Consider the following 14,241-nt stretch of genomic DNA (forward strand, 5'->3'; position numbering starts at 1 on the left):
TACTGGAGCCTGCCTGACACGGGTGGATCTGGGGACCTCTGTGTTCAGCCCATAGCTGGTTTCCTGCAGAGCTGGGCCAGGAGGCTTGCCCATCTCCTTCCTTCCTCCTGGGCTCTCTCATCCATCTGCTGACCTGGGCTTCCTGGCTCCCTGTCCAGTGCTCTTACTCCCACTATTCCATGGTTGCATTATTCAGAGAAACAGCTTGTGCCTTCACTGTAGTCTTCATCCAGGAGGACCAGGAAGGAACAGAGCAGCACTGACATCTGCCAGTCCCTGGGGTCAAGTGGCTTAAAAAAGGCACAGATGTGACCTAAATCCTGATCACTGTGCTGGGGGCTCTCCTTGTGAAGACCGCATCTTAGGGGACAGCCAGCCATCTGTAAGTGCATCCCTCAGAGCCAAACTGATATCCAAATTTTGATAATAGACACAAGTTATATGACTCCAATTCTGGAGGGTCAACTTCTTTGTGATCCAGTTTTCTCACGTGTAAAGTGGGAGTACACTTGTAGGGGTGTTGAGAGAAGGAAATGAATTAACATCTGGGCCTGGATTATGATTTATATTAGCTGTTATTATGATATCTTAATACCAAGTCTTCATACCGAGCATGGGGACACACCCTACTGATCAGTTATTCTCTGTGACGCCCCAACCTCCACCCAGCAGGGGATTTGTTTGTGCCCATCAACTCCGCGGCTGAAGAGCAGCATCTGCTTTGCATTGTGTGCACCAATTCTCTGGGGAGTGAAGGTGTCTCTTCACCCAATCCCAAAATGGAGCCTCTTACTGCTTGCCATAAGCCCTGTGTGTTGTCATGCAACCAAAGGGTCTGTTCTGTGTTCAGACGTCTGGTCTGGCCCCTGCTGGCTTTGTCTCCTTGCCCATCACCTCTCCTAAAACAAGTACCTGCCTCCATTCCCTCTGGTGTTTGGCCATCCCTGTTAGTCTGCATCCACTGAATATTGTGCAGACTGCGGTTCTTCTGAACTGTTCACTAGGAGTTCCTTAAACAAATCGCCAAGAGTGTGTCTTCAGAAGCTCCTCCATCCTGGGTCAGCACCCTTTGGCTGCATCCCATCACTGTATTCTTGTGATGTCTTTCTTCCCTCCCCATGTCAAAAATTACTCTCAGGAAGGTTCCGCAAACTCATTTATTCTGATGGGTAAGTGGCTATTAGGGCCTAGTCTTACTGAGGGTTAGAAGACTGCCAGGTAGCCCTCCTTAATGCTGTGGACTAATGGCCTCTTCATATATACAACAGCGTTCCCTGAGGATGTGCTGCCGTGGATGCTGCTGTGAGTATCACTATTGCCATTGTTATGGTAACCACTTACAAGCACCTGCTATGTGCCAGGTAAGATATTTGGCCATCGTAGTGTATAAGTGGTCAAGAGCACATGGCTTACTGATTCTGAACCTCATTTATTATACCAAAAGTTCCAGAAGGAACAAAGATTTAAATGCAATGGAGCTTGTGCCAAGACTTATGGACAAGGATACACTTTAGAGCCCCAATATAATAGCAAAAGACAGGAAACCACTGAAGGCTCGTCGACAGAAGTTGATTAAATAAGTTATAGCATATCCATTTGTAGAATACTCTGCATTAGTTAAAAAGAATGAGGCTAGGTCTGTAGCCATTGATAATGAAACAATCTCCAAGATATAAGTAAAGTGAAAACAAAGCAAGTTGTAGAAGAATATCTAGCATATGCTACTGTGTGAAAGCAAACAGAAGAGTATATGTATAGACTAATTTTAGAAAGAAAAAGGGAGTTGACAACAGTGATTGCTTTTGGGAGATGTGTTGATGATCTGGGTAGCAGGGACACTTACTTTTTATGTTTCAAGGGAGTTAGGTCCTTTTTATTCCTTACCATATGCAGGTATTATTTTTGAATTTAAAAAGTTTAAGAAATAAATGCTGTGGAGTCAGACTTGGATGTAAATCCAATTGCTATCAATTTCTAGCCATGTGGCCTTGACTAAGTTACTTACCCTCTTCTAGTCCTGGTCTTCTAGCTGCCAGAGGGGGACACTCTGTAGCTTGTGGTGAGGGTTAAGCGAGATAGTGCCTGTGAAGTTCTCAGCACAGTGTCTGGCACAAAAGCAAACCCTCAATTGTTAGATGCTTGCTCTGAACTGTTTATGTCCCTCCAAAATTCATATATTGATGTCCTAATCACCAATGTGATGGTAGTTGGAGGTGGGGTGTCTTTGGAAGGTAAATAGGTTTAGATGAGTTCATGAGGGTGGAGCACGCATGATGGGTAACCCTTATAAGGAGATGAAGGGACCAGAGCTCTCTCTACCTTGTGAAGACACAACAAGGAGACAACTGTCTGTTCACCAGGAAGAGGGATCTCACCAAGAACCCAAGACTGCCAGCCTCTAGAAGTGTGAGAAATAAATGTTTGTTGTTTAAACCACCCAATTGTTATAACAGCCCAAACTGACTAAGACAGTGCTTTACGTAAGTATCTCTAATTAGCATTCTGGATGTAGTACTATTCAGTTAAGCTATGTTCTGTGCATTAGGCACCTAGCAAAATCTGATGATGTGCAAGCAATGGAAGAGTCACACAGTGGAGAACCAACTGCAACAATCCCAGGAGCAAAGTGCTATGGGACCACAGAAGAAAGTAGGTTTCAATTTGCTGGAGGGGTATTGATGGGTATAGGGTAGGGATCCAGGAAGCGTTCACCAAAGAGGCAGCAGTGGAGATCTGGGTTTCACAGGATGAGAAGAAGCAGTTCCAGCAGAGACACCACATGAGAAAAGGCACAGGGTGGGCGGGGGGCTTGGGGCTTAGAGCCCTATATCTCCGCTATGGGGCTGGAGAGCAGAATGTGAGGAGAGATGGGCAGGGCCCTCAGGTGGAGACAATGGGCATCAGTTCCCCTCACAGCAGTGCCTTGTCCACTCCTTTCCTGTGGTCACCTCCTTGAGATCCTAACCAGTTTTGCAATGCCGCAGAACTGGGGCAAAATTATGGTAGCCTTTTTGCAAAAATGTCCTAGGGACTTCTATCCACAGCCCTCGTGTCATGTTAGCTGGGGAAGTAGCAGCAACATGTGTTCTTTAGGGCAGGAGTGATTCTATCCTATATGCTTCCAATACTGCAGTCAGTTACCTCGAGACACTACTCCCCCGAAAGAGTCATACAAAGGATTTGTATGCATGTACTGTTTTCTCTACCAATTATATATCTGTCTATAAAATATAGATATGTTTTTCTGTCTAAGCAGGGAAGGATCGATGCAGGGAACTGTGATTAAACTAGACATCTCTGACAGGAAGAAGAGCTGGAAGGACTGACAGGCTCCGGTGGCCACCCTACAACCAGAAGACAGACACCTGACAATGTATTGTCAGATGATGGATTAGCCAAGCCTGGGGAAGAGAGCTGAGTGTACAGCTTCCCTCCCAGTCTCCTGGGTGACAAAACCGCTGGATGACCCCGCCAACAATAATGAGATGAAAATGAAGAACACTGCAGTATAATGAGCATGATAAAATAGAGATGTTGCTAAATAATGGGTCGGCCATGGCTGAGGAGCAGGAGAAAGAGCCAAGCCCAAAGGAGGTGGATAAGGCCTTCCTGTGTGGTCTCCAAGCCTGACCCCCTGATGTGTTGCTGTTGCTCAACCAGGCCATAGATGGTTTTGAGTCCCTAGGGTGGCAAAGATGTCAGAGAGGGACTAGAGGGTGGGCCTAAGTGAAAATCCCCAGCAGGCTCTATCCTGGTCACTGTGGCTCTGACCTCCACCAGGGGAGGGACAAAAGTGTGGTAAGCACACATGCTGATGGTGGTTATGAATTACTGCCTTTAGTAGGAACCTGTTGCCTGCCAATGAGTATCAGCAAATGGTCTGAGTTAACGCATCAAAGTTTTTCAGAACATTGCACCTCTCATCTACATAGTGCAGAGTGGAAGAAGCCTGTTAATTATGCTTTTGTTTGTATTTTTGTTTAGTTGGTAGCTTGGAGTATCTGCCAGCAGAGGCAGCTGCCCCTAGGGAGGGAGGTACCTGGGTGCTACAGGGATGGCTGCCTGTAAAGATTTCTGGCACCAAGCCTCTCTGCAGTTTTTGTTTTTTATTTTTTAAATAATTAAATTAAGACTTATTTTTGAATAAGTAATATCTACATAGAGTACAAAATTTAAAAGGAACAAAAGGGGTGCAGGAAACATACATATCCCTTCTTCTCCCCCTATTCCCAGCCACCCATTTTCCTTCCCTCGAGGCAACCACTGTTACCAGTTTCTTCTGCAGTTTTCCAGAGATATTCTAAGCATAAATAAGTGCATGTACCTCAACCTGCAAGCATACTTACCAGTTTTTTTTTTTAAAAAAACACAAATGTTAACGTACTGTATCAACAAGAGTCCTGACAGAAAACAGATGGCACACATAAAGTGAGTCATTTCAGTAGAGTTTAATAAATGGACTGTTTACCAAGGTGTAGGAAAAGCCCAAAGCCAGCAACAGTTGAGTGAGAGGGCACAGTGACATAGTGTGAGCAACACTGCCAGTTGAGGAGCATTCCAGGGAGGTGTGGGGGCATAATCACCTGTCCTTCCTCTCCTCCCTCTGACCTTTTGCTGCAGCACCTCATGGGCTGCACTCAACCTAAGCCAGAGAACAAGAGTCTATTGATGCAGTTTAAAGAGGTCACTCTGGGGCACGGAACAGGTGGGGAAGGGCCAAGAGTGAATAAGGAGGGCAAATGTGGGCACTCAGCTCATGCACTCAGCTCCTCATCCTGTTCTTTGCTGTTTTCCACTTCACAGTCTATCTGTACATAGAGCCTCATTCTTTCTGCTAGCTTATTCTATTGCATTTCCGTTGTGGAATACCACGCCACATGCAAGAGACTGAATTGTGACCCCCACCCCAATTATATGTTGAAGTCCTAACACCCAATGTTAACTGTATGTAGAGTGAAGAAGTCATTAAAGTTAAATGAGGCCATAAGGGTGATGCCTAGAATAAGGCTTATTAAGAGGAGACACCAGAGCTCTCTATCTGTCATGTGAGGACACAGCCAGAAGATGGCAGTCTGCAAGCCAGGAACTCATCAGAAAACCCAGCAGCAGGAACCCTGATCTTGAACTTCCCAGTCTCCAGAACTGGGAGAAAGAAATGTCTGCTCTTTAACCCACCCAGTTCATGGTATTTTGTTATGGCAGCCTGAGCTAAGACACCACACACACACACACACACACACACACACACACACACACACACACACACGTAATATATCACAAAAATAATAATATATACAACCATATATTCAACTAGTCCCTCACTGATGGTCTTTTAAGATAGTTTCCAATTTTCTGCTATTACAAACAATGCTGCAAGGCAAATCCTTTTACTGCCATTTCACTGGTAAGGATACATACAGAATAAATTCCATAGGAATTTATTTATAGGAAGGGATTGTTGTATCAAAGAATGTATGCTTTAAAAATGTTGATAGATTCAGCTGCAGCACCCTGCATAGAATTTGCACCAATTTGCATGCACATTAGCAATGTATAAGGTTCCCATGCAGTTTTTAAACATCTGGGTTTCGAAGACGTGAATAAACTTATTACAGCATCTTTCCAGCAGTGCCTGTCACCTTACAAGACATAAACTTTTCTTGTTTTTGAAATTATGAGAATACATAATTCTCCTCTTGTTTTCTGTCCTGTCTTTCAGCTTTTTTCAGCAGGGATAAAATTCCTCCACTCCTGAATGAAATTCTTATGGTTTTTCTTTGGGCACAGTTCTGACTCATTTTAAGTCATAAATTAACTGCCTCAGTTAAGATGTTAAGTATCCAGTTTTTCTTTCTGGGCATGAACAAGCCAATTATATATGAAAACATACCTTAGAGACAGTTAGGAAACCCACATATGTACAGGTACCAGGACATGCCAAGGAATCATCATTAATCCCACAACATTGCTGTGGCACGCAGGAAAACATCCTTATTCTATGAAGAGGCAGTCTGAAGTATCCAGAAATGTGAAACACACGTCTTCAATCTACCCCAACACTTCAGCAAAAACAAGATGAAGCAAATATGCAAAACAGTAACAATCATTACATCTAGGTGATGGACACCTTCCTTTATGTTCAACAACTCTCATAATAAAAAACTTAGAAGAGATGTCTAGCCAAGACAATAATCAATACTTCACACTTCATCCATAGGTAAGACTCCTCCCTCTCCTCCCCCTGCTGCTCCCCAGCCAGGGCCAGCAGTGAGAGAGTCTGTGATCTAGGAAGGAGGTTGCAGTGGCTTCTGCTCCTTCTTCATTCAACTCCTCTCCTACCAGGGTTGAAGAGAGATAGTCAGAGGACAGGATGGTACTTACGTGGCTTGCTCTTTGACCTGGCAGATGTCTAAAACAGACTCTTGTAACCCTTGGGTTCGGCAGAGCCCAACACGATCTGTGATGTGGGCAATGGATTCTGTTTCTCCAGCTGCCACCCCCCCACTCCACCACCAGCCCTGATCTGGTGGTCCACAATACACCAACAAATTTTACTCTTCATGTGATCTTCTTGGGAAGAACTTAAAAGAGCTCCAGCCTGGTTTTCCCTATGCTGAGTGGCAAATATTTGTTCTATGGAAAACCTTCAACCCTCCAACAAATCCTGGAAATGCAGGTCATCTGTCTTTTGGTCACAAGCAACTTCAGCTTTCTCAGGCCTGAGTTAGGCAGGAATCTAAGATCTCCCCTCCCCAGCTGCAGAGAACACACACCAAGCTTTCTCAATGTGCCCCGGAAGCTCCCTCTCAATAGGTTTATGTTGGAAAGTAGCTTCTTATTCTCTTCCCAGAGGTGAGGGAGTGAGAAATTATCAGTGTTCTCCAAAGAAATCTCATAAATTTTCCCAATATATCTCTTGCATAATACACTTCCCCCACCATGCTATTGAATATATCTTAGTATTATTAAACATTTACTTTCATTTCACACATTAAGAGTTTTATCAATATTTATACAAGATGTGTTACATTTAATTCCATTTGTTTAAAATTGTGCTAGAAGAATGTTGTTTTATTAGTTATCTATTGTTATAATGGCTTAAGATAATGTTTATTATCTCATACAACTTCTGAAGGTCAGGAATCCAGAATTGGTTTAGCTGGGTGGTTCTAGCTCAGGGTCTCCTGTGAGGTTGCAGTCAAGAAGATGGCCAGGGCTGCAGCACCTGAAGTCTTGATCGGCTGGAGGAGCTACTTCCAAGAGGGGTCACTTACGTGGCTGTGCCTCAGTTTCTCTCTGGCTGTTATCAGGAGACCTCAGATTCTCACCAAGTAAGCTTCTCCATAAGGCTGCCCAAGACACAGCAACTTACTCTCTTCAAGAGAGCAAGAAAGAAGCCATGATGTCTTTTATGACTTAGCCTCGGAAGTGACATGCCATCACACCTGCCATATGCTATTGGTTGCACAGATTAATCATGGTACAATGTGGGGGAGAAGAGGGTGTGAATACCAAGAGACAGGGACCACTAGGACCGTCTTGGAGCTAGCCACCACACCTATTGATGTCATCCTGCATGTCCTCTCAGCTGTCAGTATAAACTATGCTTCATGGACTCGTGCTCCACAGAGTTGTATTCCATGGGAGAGAATCCCTCTGTGGTCTTAAGTGTGGCACTTTGTATAGCGCCCCCATGACATAAGTAACTGTATCTCAGAAACAGACTCCATCTTACATTTCAAAAGGCCCCTTGCCAAAAGAGAACAGATATTTTGCCTAATCAATAAAGACTACATCCAACCAGATAAGGACATAACCAAGCACACTTTTCCACTATCAGTTCTCACCAGAGGACTCTGGGGTGGCCATTAAAAGAGCAGGACCTCAGCAGCTTGAAAAGTCCACCTTAACAGACACCATCTTGCTATCACTCGTGATATGCATCTGGCATCTGCAACCCAAAGCTCTGCCCATATCAAAGACTCTTCCTTGCAAGACCGACAGCCACCACAGGCCAGACCAGAAGATTATTTTTGTCTATGTTGGTCGCCCTGGACTGGTTCATTAATGTTTTTACTATCCCTTCTCTCTTGATGATAAATGTTACTTTGTTTGTGGTGGAATATTTAATTTATAACATTTACATATTGATCAAGTATACTACTATGTATGGTTTGCAATAATGATTGATTTCCTGCCCACAGGCTTGGGCCTATGTGCCCGTGGCTCTGACAACTGAGTGAATGAGAAGTACTAAGGAGAACTGCCTTCTTGCTGAACTCCATGTAGCTCGTGTCTTTTATGTTTGAGACAGCTTCAGTAAAAGTCTGACATTGTGGAAAGACACAAATGTGCATGAACCTGGTTATCTCTAACCTTGGGCATCTCATGGGACACTTGGTCACAGGGCACAAGTACAGAGTGAAGTCTGCCCCTGTGTCTCCCAGAGGTCATGGTGATAATAGTCCCATAACTGTTTTTGCCATGAGTCTGGGCCAGAAGATAAATCTTATTGTTCTGTGTTCTTATTCCTGCCCACACAGCTCCCGCCTGCCATAGTGCCAGTGCTCTTTTGTGCCCTTACCATGGAATCACTCACAAAAGCAAGCTCTGTGGCCAGCCATGCCCGGACATGCACTGAATCCTAGCAGAGTTCAGGCTCAGGCGGGGGCACTCCTAACCGTTCCCTCCCAGCCTGTAGCACATGCATAAGGAGCCCTATTGCCTGCAGTGATCAGTGTGAAGAAATGGGGGCAAGTTGGGGGTGAAGTGTACTCTGATTGCGGCAAAGGGTTTCCATCTTCTTGTCACAGGAGAAGTGGATCCCAGCACAGGCAGTGTCCATGGAGGAGAAGAAAAGACACCAAAAGCAAAGGTACAGAGCATACACATTACCCCATGAAGAGGACCTTCGAGAATCCATGAGCATAGTCATCCTGCCTGAACTTAATTTCCCTCTACACTCTCTTTCCCCCTAGCTTCCATATCATGGAGTTATATGGAATTCGTATAACTTTATTGTGGAATATCATCTAGAATTTTAGTTCCTCCTCCACTCTTTGTTTGTTTGTTTATTTGTTTTGTTTTTAAGAGACAGGGTCCCTCTCTGTCGCCCAGGCTGAAATGCAGTGGCATAATCCCAGCCCACTGGAGCCTTGAACTCCTGGGTGCAAGCCATCTCCCCATGGCAGCCTCCTGAGTAGCTGGGACTACAGGTGCACACCACTCCCCGAGCTGACCTCCATGCTTTTAACCTCTCAGTAGTTATGATTTATCATCCATTGATTATTAGATTTGCCAACATGCTTTATTGCTCTCTTGGCCCACTACTGCTCCTTACATCTCATTCCCCTTTATGGCTCATATTCTTTCTTGCTAAAGTAATACTTTTGAAGTTCTTTCAAGTCATTCTTTCTCTTTGATGTTCTATAATTGCACTATGATGTCTCCAGTAGAAATATGGATTTGTCTTTAATTACATTGCTTGAGATTTGGTGTTTTCCTTCAATGCTGAACACTCTCAGCCATTATTCCTCAACACAGCAGTGTCTGGGAGGTGGAGACAATACACCGATCACTGCAGACAGGGCTCCATATGCGTATGCTGCAGGGTTGGGAGGGAACTCTTAGGGGTACTCCTGTTTGAGCCTAAACTCTGCTAGGATTCAGTACATGTCTGGGCATGCCTGACCACCCAGGCCTGCTTTTACGAGGGATTCTATGGGAAGGTGTCTGGGAGGTGGGGACAACATTTTATAGGATGGTCAAGAAAAGGTCTCTGGGGAGAAGATATGGGAGCAGAGACCTAAATGATCTGCAAGAGGAGTGGTCCAGGTAGAAGGAAGAGCAAACACAAAGAGTCAACAGGATTCAGGAATTGAAAGAAGGCCAGTGAGACTGAGCATAGTGAATGAGAAGGAACGTGGCAGGAAATTAGATTAGAGCAGAGATGGGGGCAGGGACCAGCCCTCGTAGGCTTCCTGGGCCCTTCATAGGAGTTTGAGATGAGAAATGAAGGCAGTTAGTGTGAGCTTTTGTGGTAGATACACCTAAATCTGAGCCTTCTTTTCTAGGCTCCAAGCAATATTGTCACCCTTGTAGTTAGATGCATCTATGTGATTGAGTTCTAAACAATGGAATGAGAACAAAAGTGATGTATACTCCTCCCAGTCCTGGCCAATAAAAAACTTGCACAGGTGCCCTCCTGCGCGCTTTCCCTTGCTTCTGGCTGCCTGGGATGGAAACAACCACATCAATCCTGAAAGCCACATGTTGCTGGTGGCAGAGTTGCCATCAGTCTGGGTACCCGAGTGACCCAGGTCACCCAAGTGACCCACTGTTTGAAGCAGAATTCTCACCACCATCCTCAACTCATCCCTTCTGACCTGGAACTGCCTTAAGGTGTTAAATATAAGACATCGATATCTTATTCTCTAAAGCATCAACCTTGTTGCTATTGTAGCATACACAGCCTAAACTAATGCAGCCAAGAGGACCTTGTCGAAGAAACTTGAAGTTGTGTGGGTCACACAAAAAGAGGATAGCGTGTCCAGGGTAATATTAAATTATACAGGTTAATAATGTATGTCACAGATGGACTTGCCTACTGAGGAAATATTTCTCCAAGACTAACTTTTTTTTTTTTTTTTGACAGTCTCACTCTGTTGCCCAGGCTAGAGTGCAGTGGCACAATCCTGGCTCATTGCAACCTCCTCCTCCTGGGTTCAAGAGATCCTCCTGCCTTAGCCTCCTGAGAAGCTGGGATTACAGGTGCCCACCACCACATCTGGCTAATTTTATATTTTTGGTAGAGACGGGGTTTCACCATGTTGACCAGGCTGGTCTTGAACTCCTGACCTCAGGTGATCCACCCGCCTTGGCCTCCCAAAGTGCTGGGATTACAGGAGTGAGTCACTGTGCCGGGCCATGAGTACCTTTTAACAGATGAAGTAATCATAGCTCCGAAGAATTAGCTGCTTCTCTTGAAGATACTTGATGGCAGAAACTTCATAATAAACCAGAACTCCTAATTTCTAGTCCAGGGTTCTTTCCCTGGGACTGAAGGGAGGGAGCTGGGGGAAGGAACAGACTTGGAAGAGAGGCGAGAATAAATCTCCACTTAGGTTCTTTGGTCACCCAAGGGCTCTGCTCTTCACTGATGCCTTTAGGACACTTCAGAAAGAACTTTATTTAGCTGCCCTTCTAAGTCTTTAGACAAGCATACTCTCCCTTCCCATGGCTGAGGACACCGAAATCCTGGCAGTAATGCTTTGGGCTCTGTCTCAGTTTAGGGTCTCAGCAGGAAACTGGTAACAACCCAAACTGTAAATTCCTTCAGAGGCCTGGGTGGGTTTAGGAAACCAACTAGGGATGATGCAATGCCTTGGGGCCTGCAATAGTGGGACCCATTGTCACCCCTAAGTCTGAAGGAGTGTATCAGTTACCTATTGGTACAAATTACCATAAATGTAGTGGCTTAAAACAACACACTCTTATTATCCTACAATCTTGGGGGGTCAGAAGTCTGAAATGGGTCCCACTGGGTCAAAATCAAGGTGTTACCAGGACTGTATTCCTTTTGGAGGCTCCAAGGGAGAATCCTTTCCTTGCCTTTTCCAGCTTCTAGAGGCTGCCGGCATTCCTTGGTTCTTGGCCCCTTCCATCTTCAAAGCCCACAGTGGCTGGTTGGGTCCTTCTAGTGATGCCGTGTCTCTGATTCTGACTTCTGTTTCCCCCTCCAAATTTAAAAGACTCTTGTGATTATATTGGGCCCACCTGAATAATCCCCACTCATCTCCTTAAAATCAGATGATTAGAAACCTTAATTCCATCTTCAACCTTCATTCTCCCCTTGTCATATAGCTTTACATATTCACAGGTTCTAGGAACTAGGAAGTGGATGTCCTTGGGAATTATTATTTGGTTACCACAAAGGACAGGGCTGGGAGCAGTTATTGGAACTGAGAGGAAGTAGCTGTGTGGACAGGGTCACCTGGCGGGAATGTGACCATTGGTAGAGAGCCAGGTTCCCCAAACCAGACACTCATGGTAGATATCATCTGGCTTTTCCACTTGACCACAGTGAACAGGCAAACCAAGGAAGGACTTATTTTATTGTACTGGTTGGGTAATCAATTCTGATTAGCATGAAGAACTAGAATTCATTCTGTATAAGGGATCATTAAAAAGAATTTCCAAAATTCAGGCAATGTATTTGGATGTCTCTCAGTACTTCTAAGTCCTATAATTACAGTCAATGGGAATTGTGCTTGGTACAACCCACCAAGCACAGGGAGGACAAGGGGCCTGAAGGGCTGGGTAACTCCACCAAGCAATCAACCTGGACCAGACTAAATGCTGGTAGGAGACAAGGGAATTTTAGCATGGGTGGTGCAGGAGAGAGATGATGGAGGATGAATGTCTATTAAGGACTCTTGTTTCACTGAACCTCATTCCTGAATTCTCCCAGGGGATTTCAACTGTGACTGTAAGGACCTATATCTCCCTCTTAGGGAAGGAGTGAGGGTGTCTTGTCTGCACACAAAAACAAAACAAACCCAGAATTGCTATAATACAGTATAAGAGTCAATATAATGGGAGAAAATGAGTGGATCTCAGTGGCGTAAGGGGTGAGTTACACTGGATTCAAGTCTGTGTCCATCCTTGAGCCTGCTGACACTAGTGGAGGATCGGACCATCGCTTTCTCTGGGAACAGGGGTCTTTCCTCTTGACCTCCACCATGCAGCTGCACTAACCATCCACAAACCCCAAGTTTCTGGCTCCTTTGACTACTTCCAGACTTGAATGAAACACTGCAATAATTCTCACTGTAGAAGGGGCCACCTAACCACACCTGGAGGTGTTGGGGAATTAACTCCTGTGGCTGAACATTGATTAACAGGAAACCAGAGATGGGAAGGAGAGTGGCAGATAAAATCTTTTTCTTGGCCCCATGGCCTACACCAAAGTGTCCTTTCTCTTTGCAGCCTCTTTGGAGGAGACCCCTGTGTTAAACAGGCATGCTTGCTGAGTAACATGCTTTGCCATGATCCTCGAGGCTTGTCATTAAGTGTCTTCCTCTTCGTCCCTGATGCCTTCTCTTTGCACTTCCCAAGTGTAATGGTTAATTTTATATGTCAATTTGGCTGGGACAGTGCATAGATATGTGGTCAAATGTTATTCGGGATGTTCTGGAGAGGGTATTTATAAGTAGCATTCATGTTTAAATTGGTAGACTGAGCAAAGCAGATTATCCTCCATAATGTGGGTAGATCCACTTTGAAGCCAGTCGACTGCAGGACAGAACAAAAGACTGATCCCCCCGAGCAAGAGGAACTTCTGTAGCAGAGGGCCTTAGGCTTGAACTGCAGCACAAACCCCTCCCTGGGTCTCCAGCCTGCAGACTTTGGATTTGCCAGTCTCCATAATTTTCTGAGCCTACTCCTTAAAATAAATCTTTTTCTGTGTAAATACACCTCCTGTGGGTTCTGTTTCTTTGGAGAACCCAGACAAATACATCAAGTAAGGCTTCAGCTCTTTCATCCTTGCCTCAGCATCTGCTTTACAGAGAGTAGGGCCAAGGTCCCTGTCTTTTGTGGACCGAAGGCCTCATCACTCTCATGTGAATATTAAAATCTCAGTCTTTTACTCCAGGTCCAACATTCCACTGATGGCTCTGGTTTCTTTTACTTTTATTTTTATTTTTAGAGACAGGGTCTCACTCTGTCACCTAGGCTGGAGCACAGCGGTGCGATCATTGCTCATGCAGCCTCAACTTTCTGGACTCAAGTGAGCCTCCCACCTCAGCCTCCTGAGTAGCTGAGACTACAGGGGTGCACAGCTACACCTGGGTAATTTTTAAATTTTTTATAGAGACAGGATCTTGCCATGTTGCCCAGACTGATCTTGAACTGCTGGCCTCAAGTGATCCTCTCACTTCGACCTTCCAAAGTGCTGGGATTACAGGCATAAGCCATTGCGCCTGGCCTGACTGCTCTAGTTTCATCTCACTCTTACCATGCTGGCTTTGGGTTCTTTATTCCTTTCTGGGACTTGAGAATTTCCTATTATTTATTATGGTCATATTATTTTATAATATAATTTCCTTTTATTAATTTCCTTTATTTCCTGCCTCAACTATATCATTTTAAATATTACTATACATTATTCAGCATATCTGTGTATTTGTAGCAGGAGGGTAACTCTGCCTCTGTATGCACATTGTGTGTGTGTCTCATAAT

The 14,241-nt window shown here is 44.8% G+C and overlaps 1 long non-coding RNA gene across 2 annotated transcripts, besides 1 other annotated feature; it reads left to right on the top strand.

The window, feature by feature from the left end:
* The first annotated feature begins 292 nt into the window (after positions 1-292).
* Positions 293-3,390, top strand: LOC105370407 (uncharacterized). 2 transcript variants are annotated; one of them, XR_943607.3, is made up of 3 exons: positions 293-382; positions 1,269-1,302; positions 3,305-3,390. It is a non-coding gene; the product is annotated as an uncharacterized LOC105370407 (long non-coding RNA). The 2 variants fall into 2 exon arrangements; XR_001750653.2 differs by having other exon boundaries at positions 1,269-1,361; positions 3,305-3,385.
* Positions 9,008-10,207: an enhancer, noted in NCBI's record as "MED14-independent group 3 enhancer chr14:24139233-24140432 (GRCh37/hg19 assembly coordinates)". NCBI's record gives its function as "activates an origin of replication core promoter dependent on BRD2, BRD4, P300/CBP and CDK7 cofactors, and independent of MED14, by STARR-seq in HCT116 cells {active_cell/tissue: HCT116}" and the evidence as "EXISTENCE:reporter gene assay evidence [ECO:0000049][PMID:35650434]".

The sequence above is a fragment of the Homo sapiens genome, chromosome 14 (assembly GCF_000001405.40).
Source record: "Homo sapiens chromosome 14, GRCh38.p14 Primary Assembly".
NCBI lineage: Eukaryota > Metazoa > Chordata > Mammalia > Primates > Hominidae > Homo > Homo sapiens.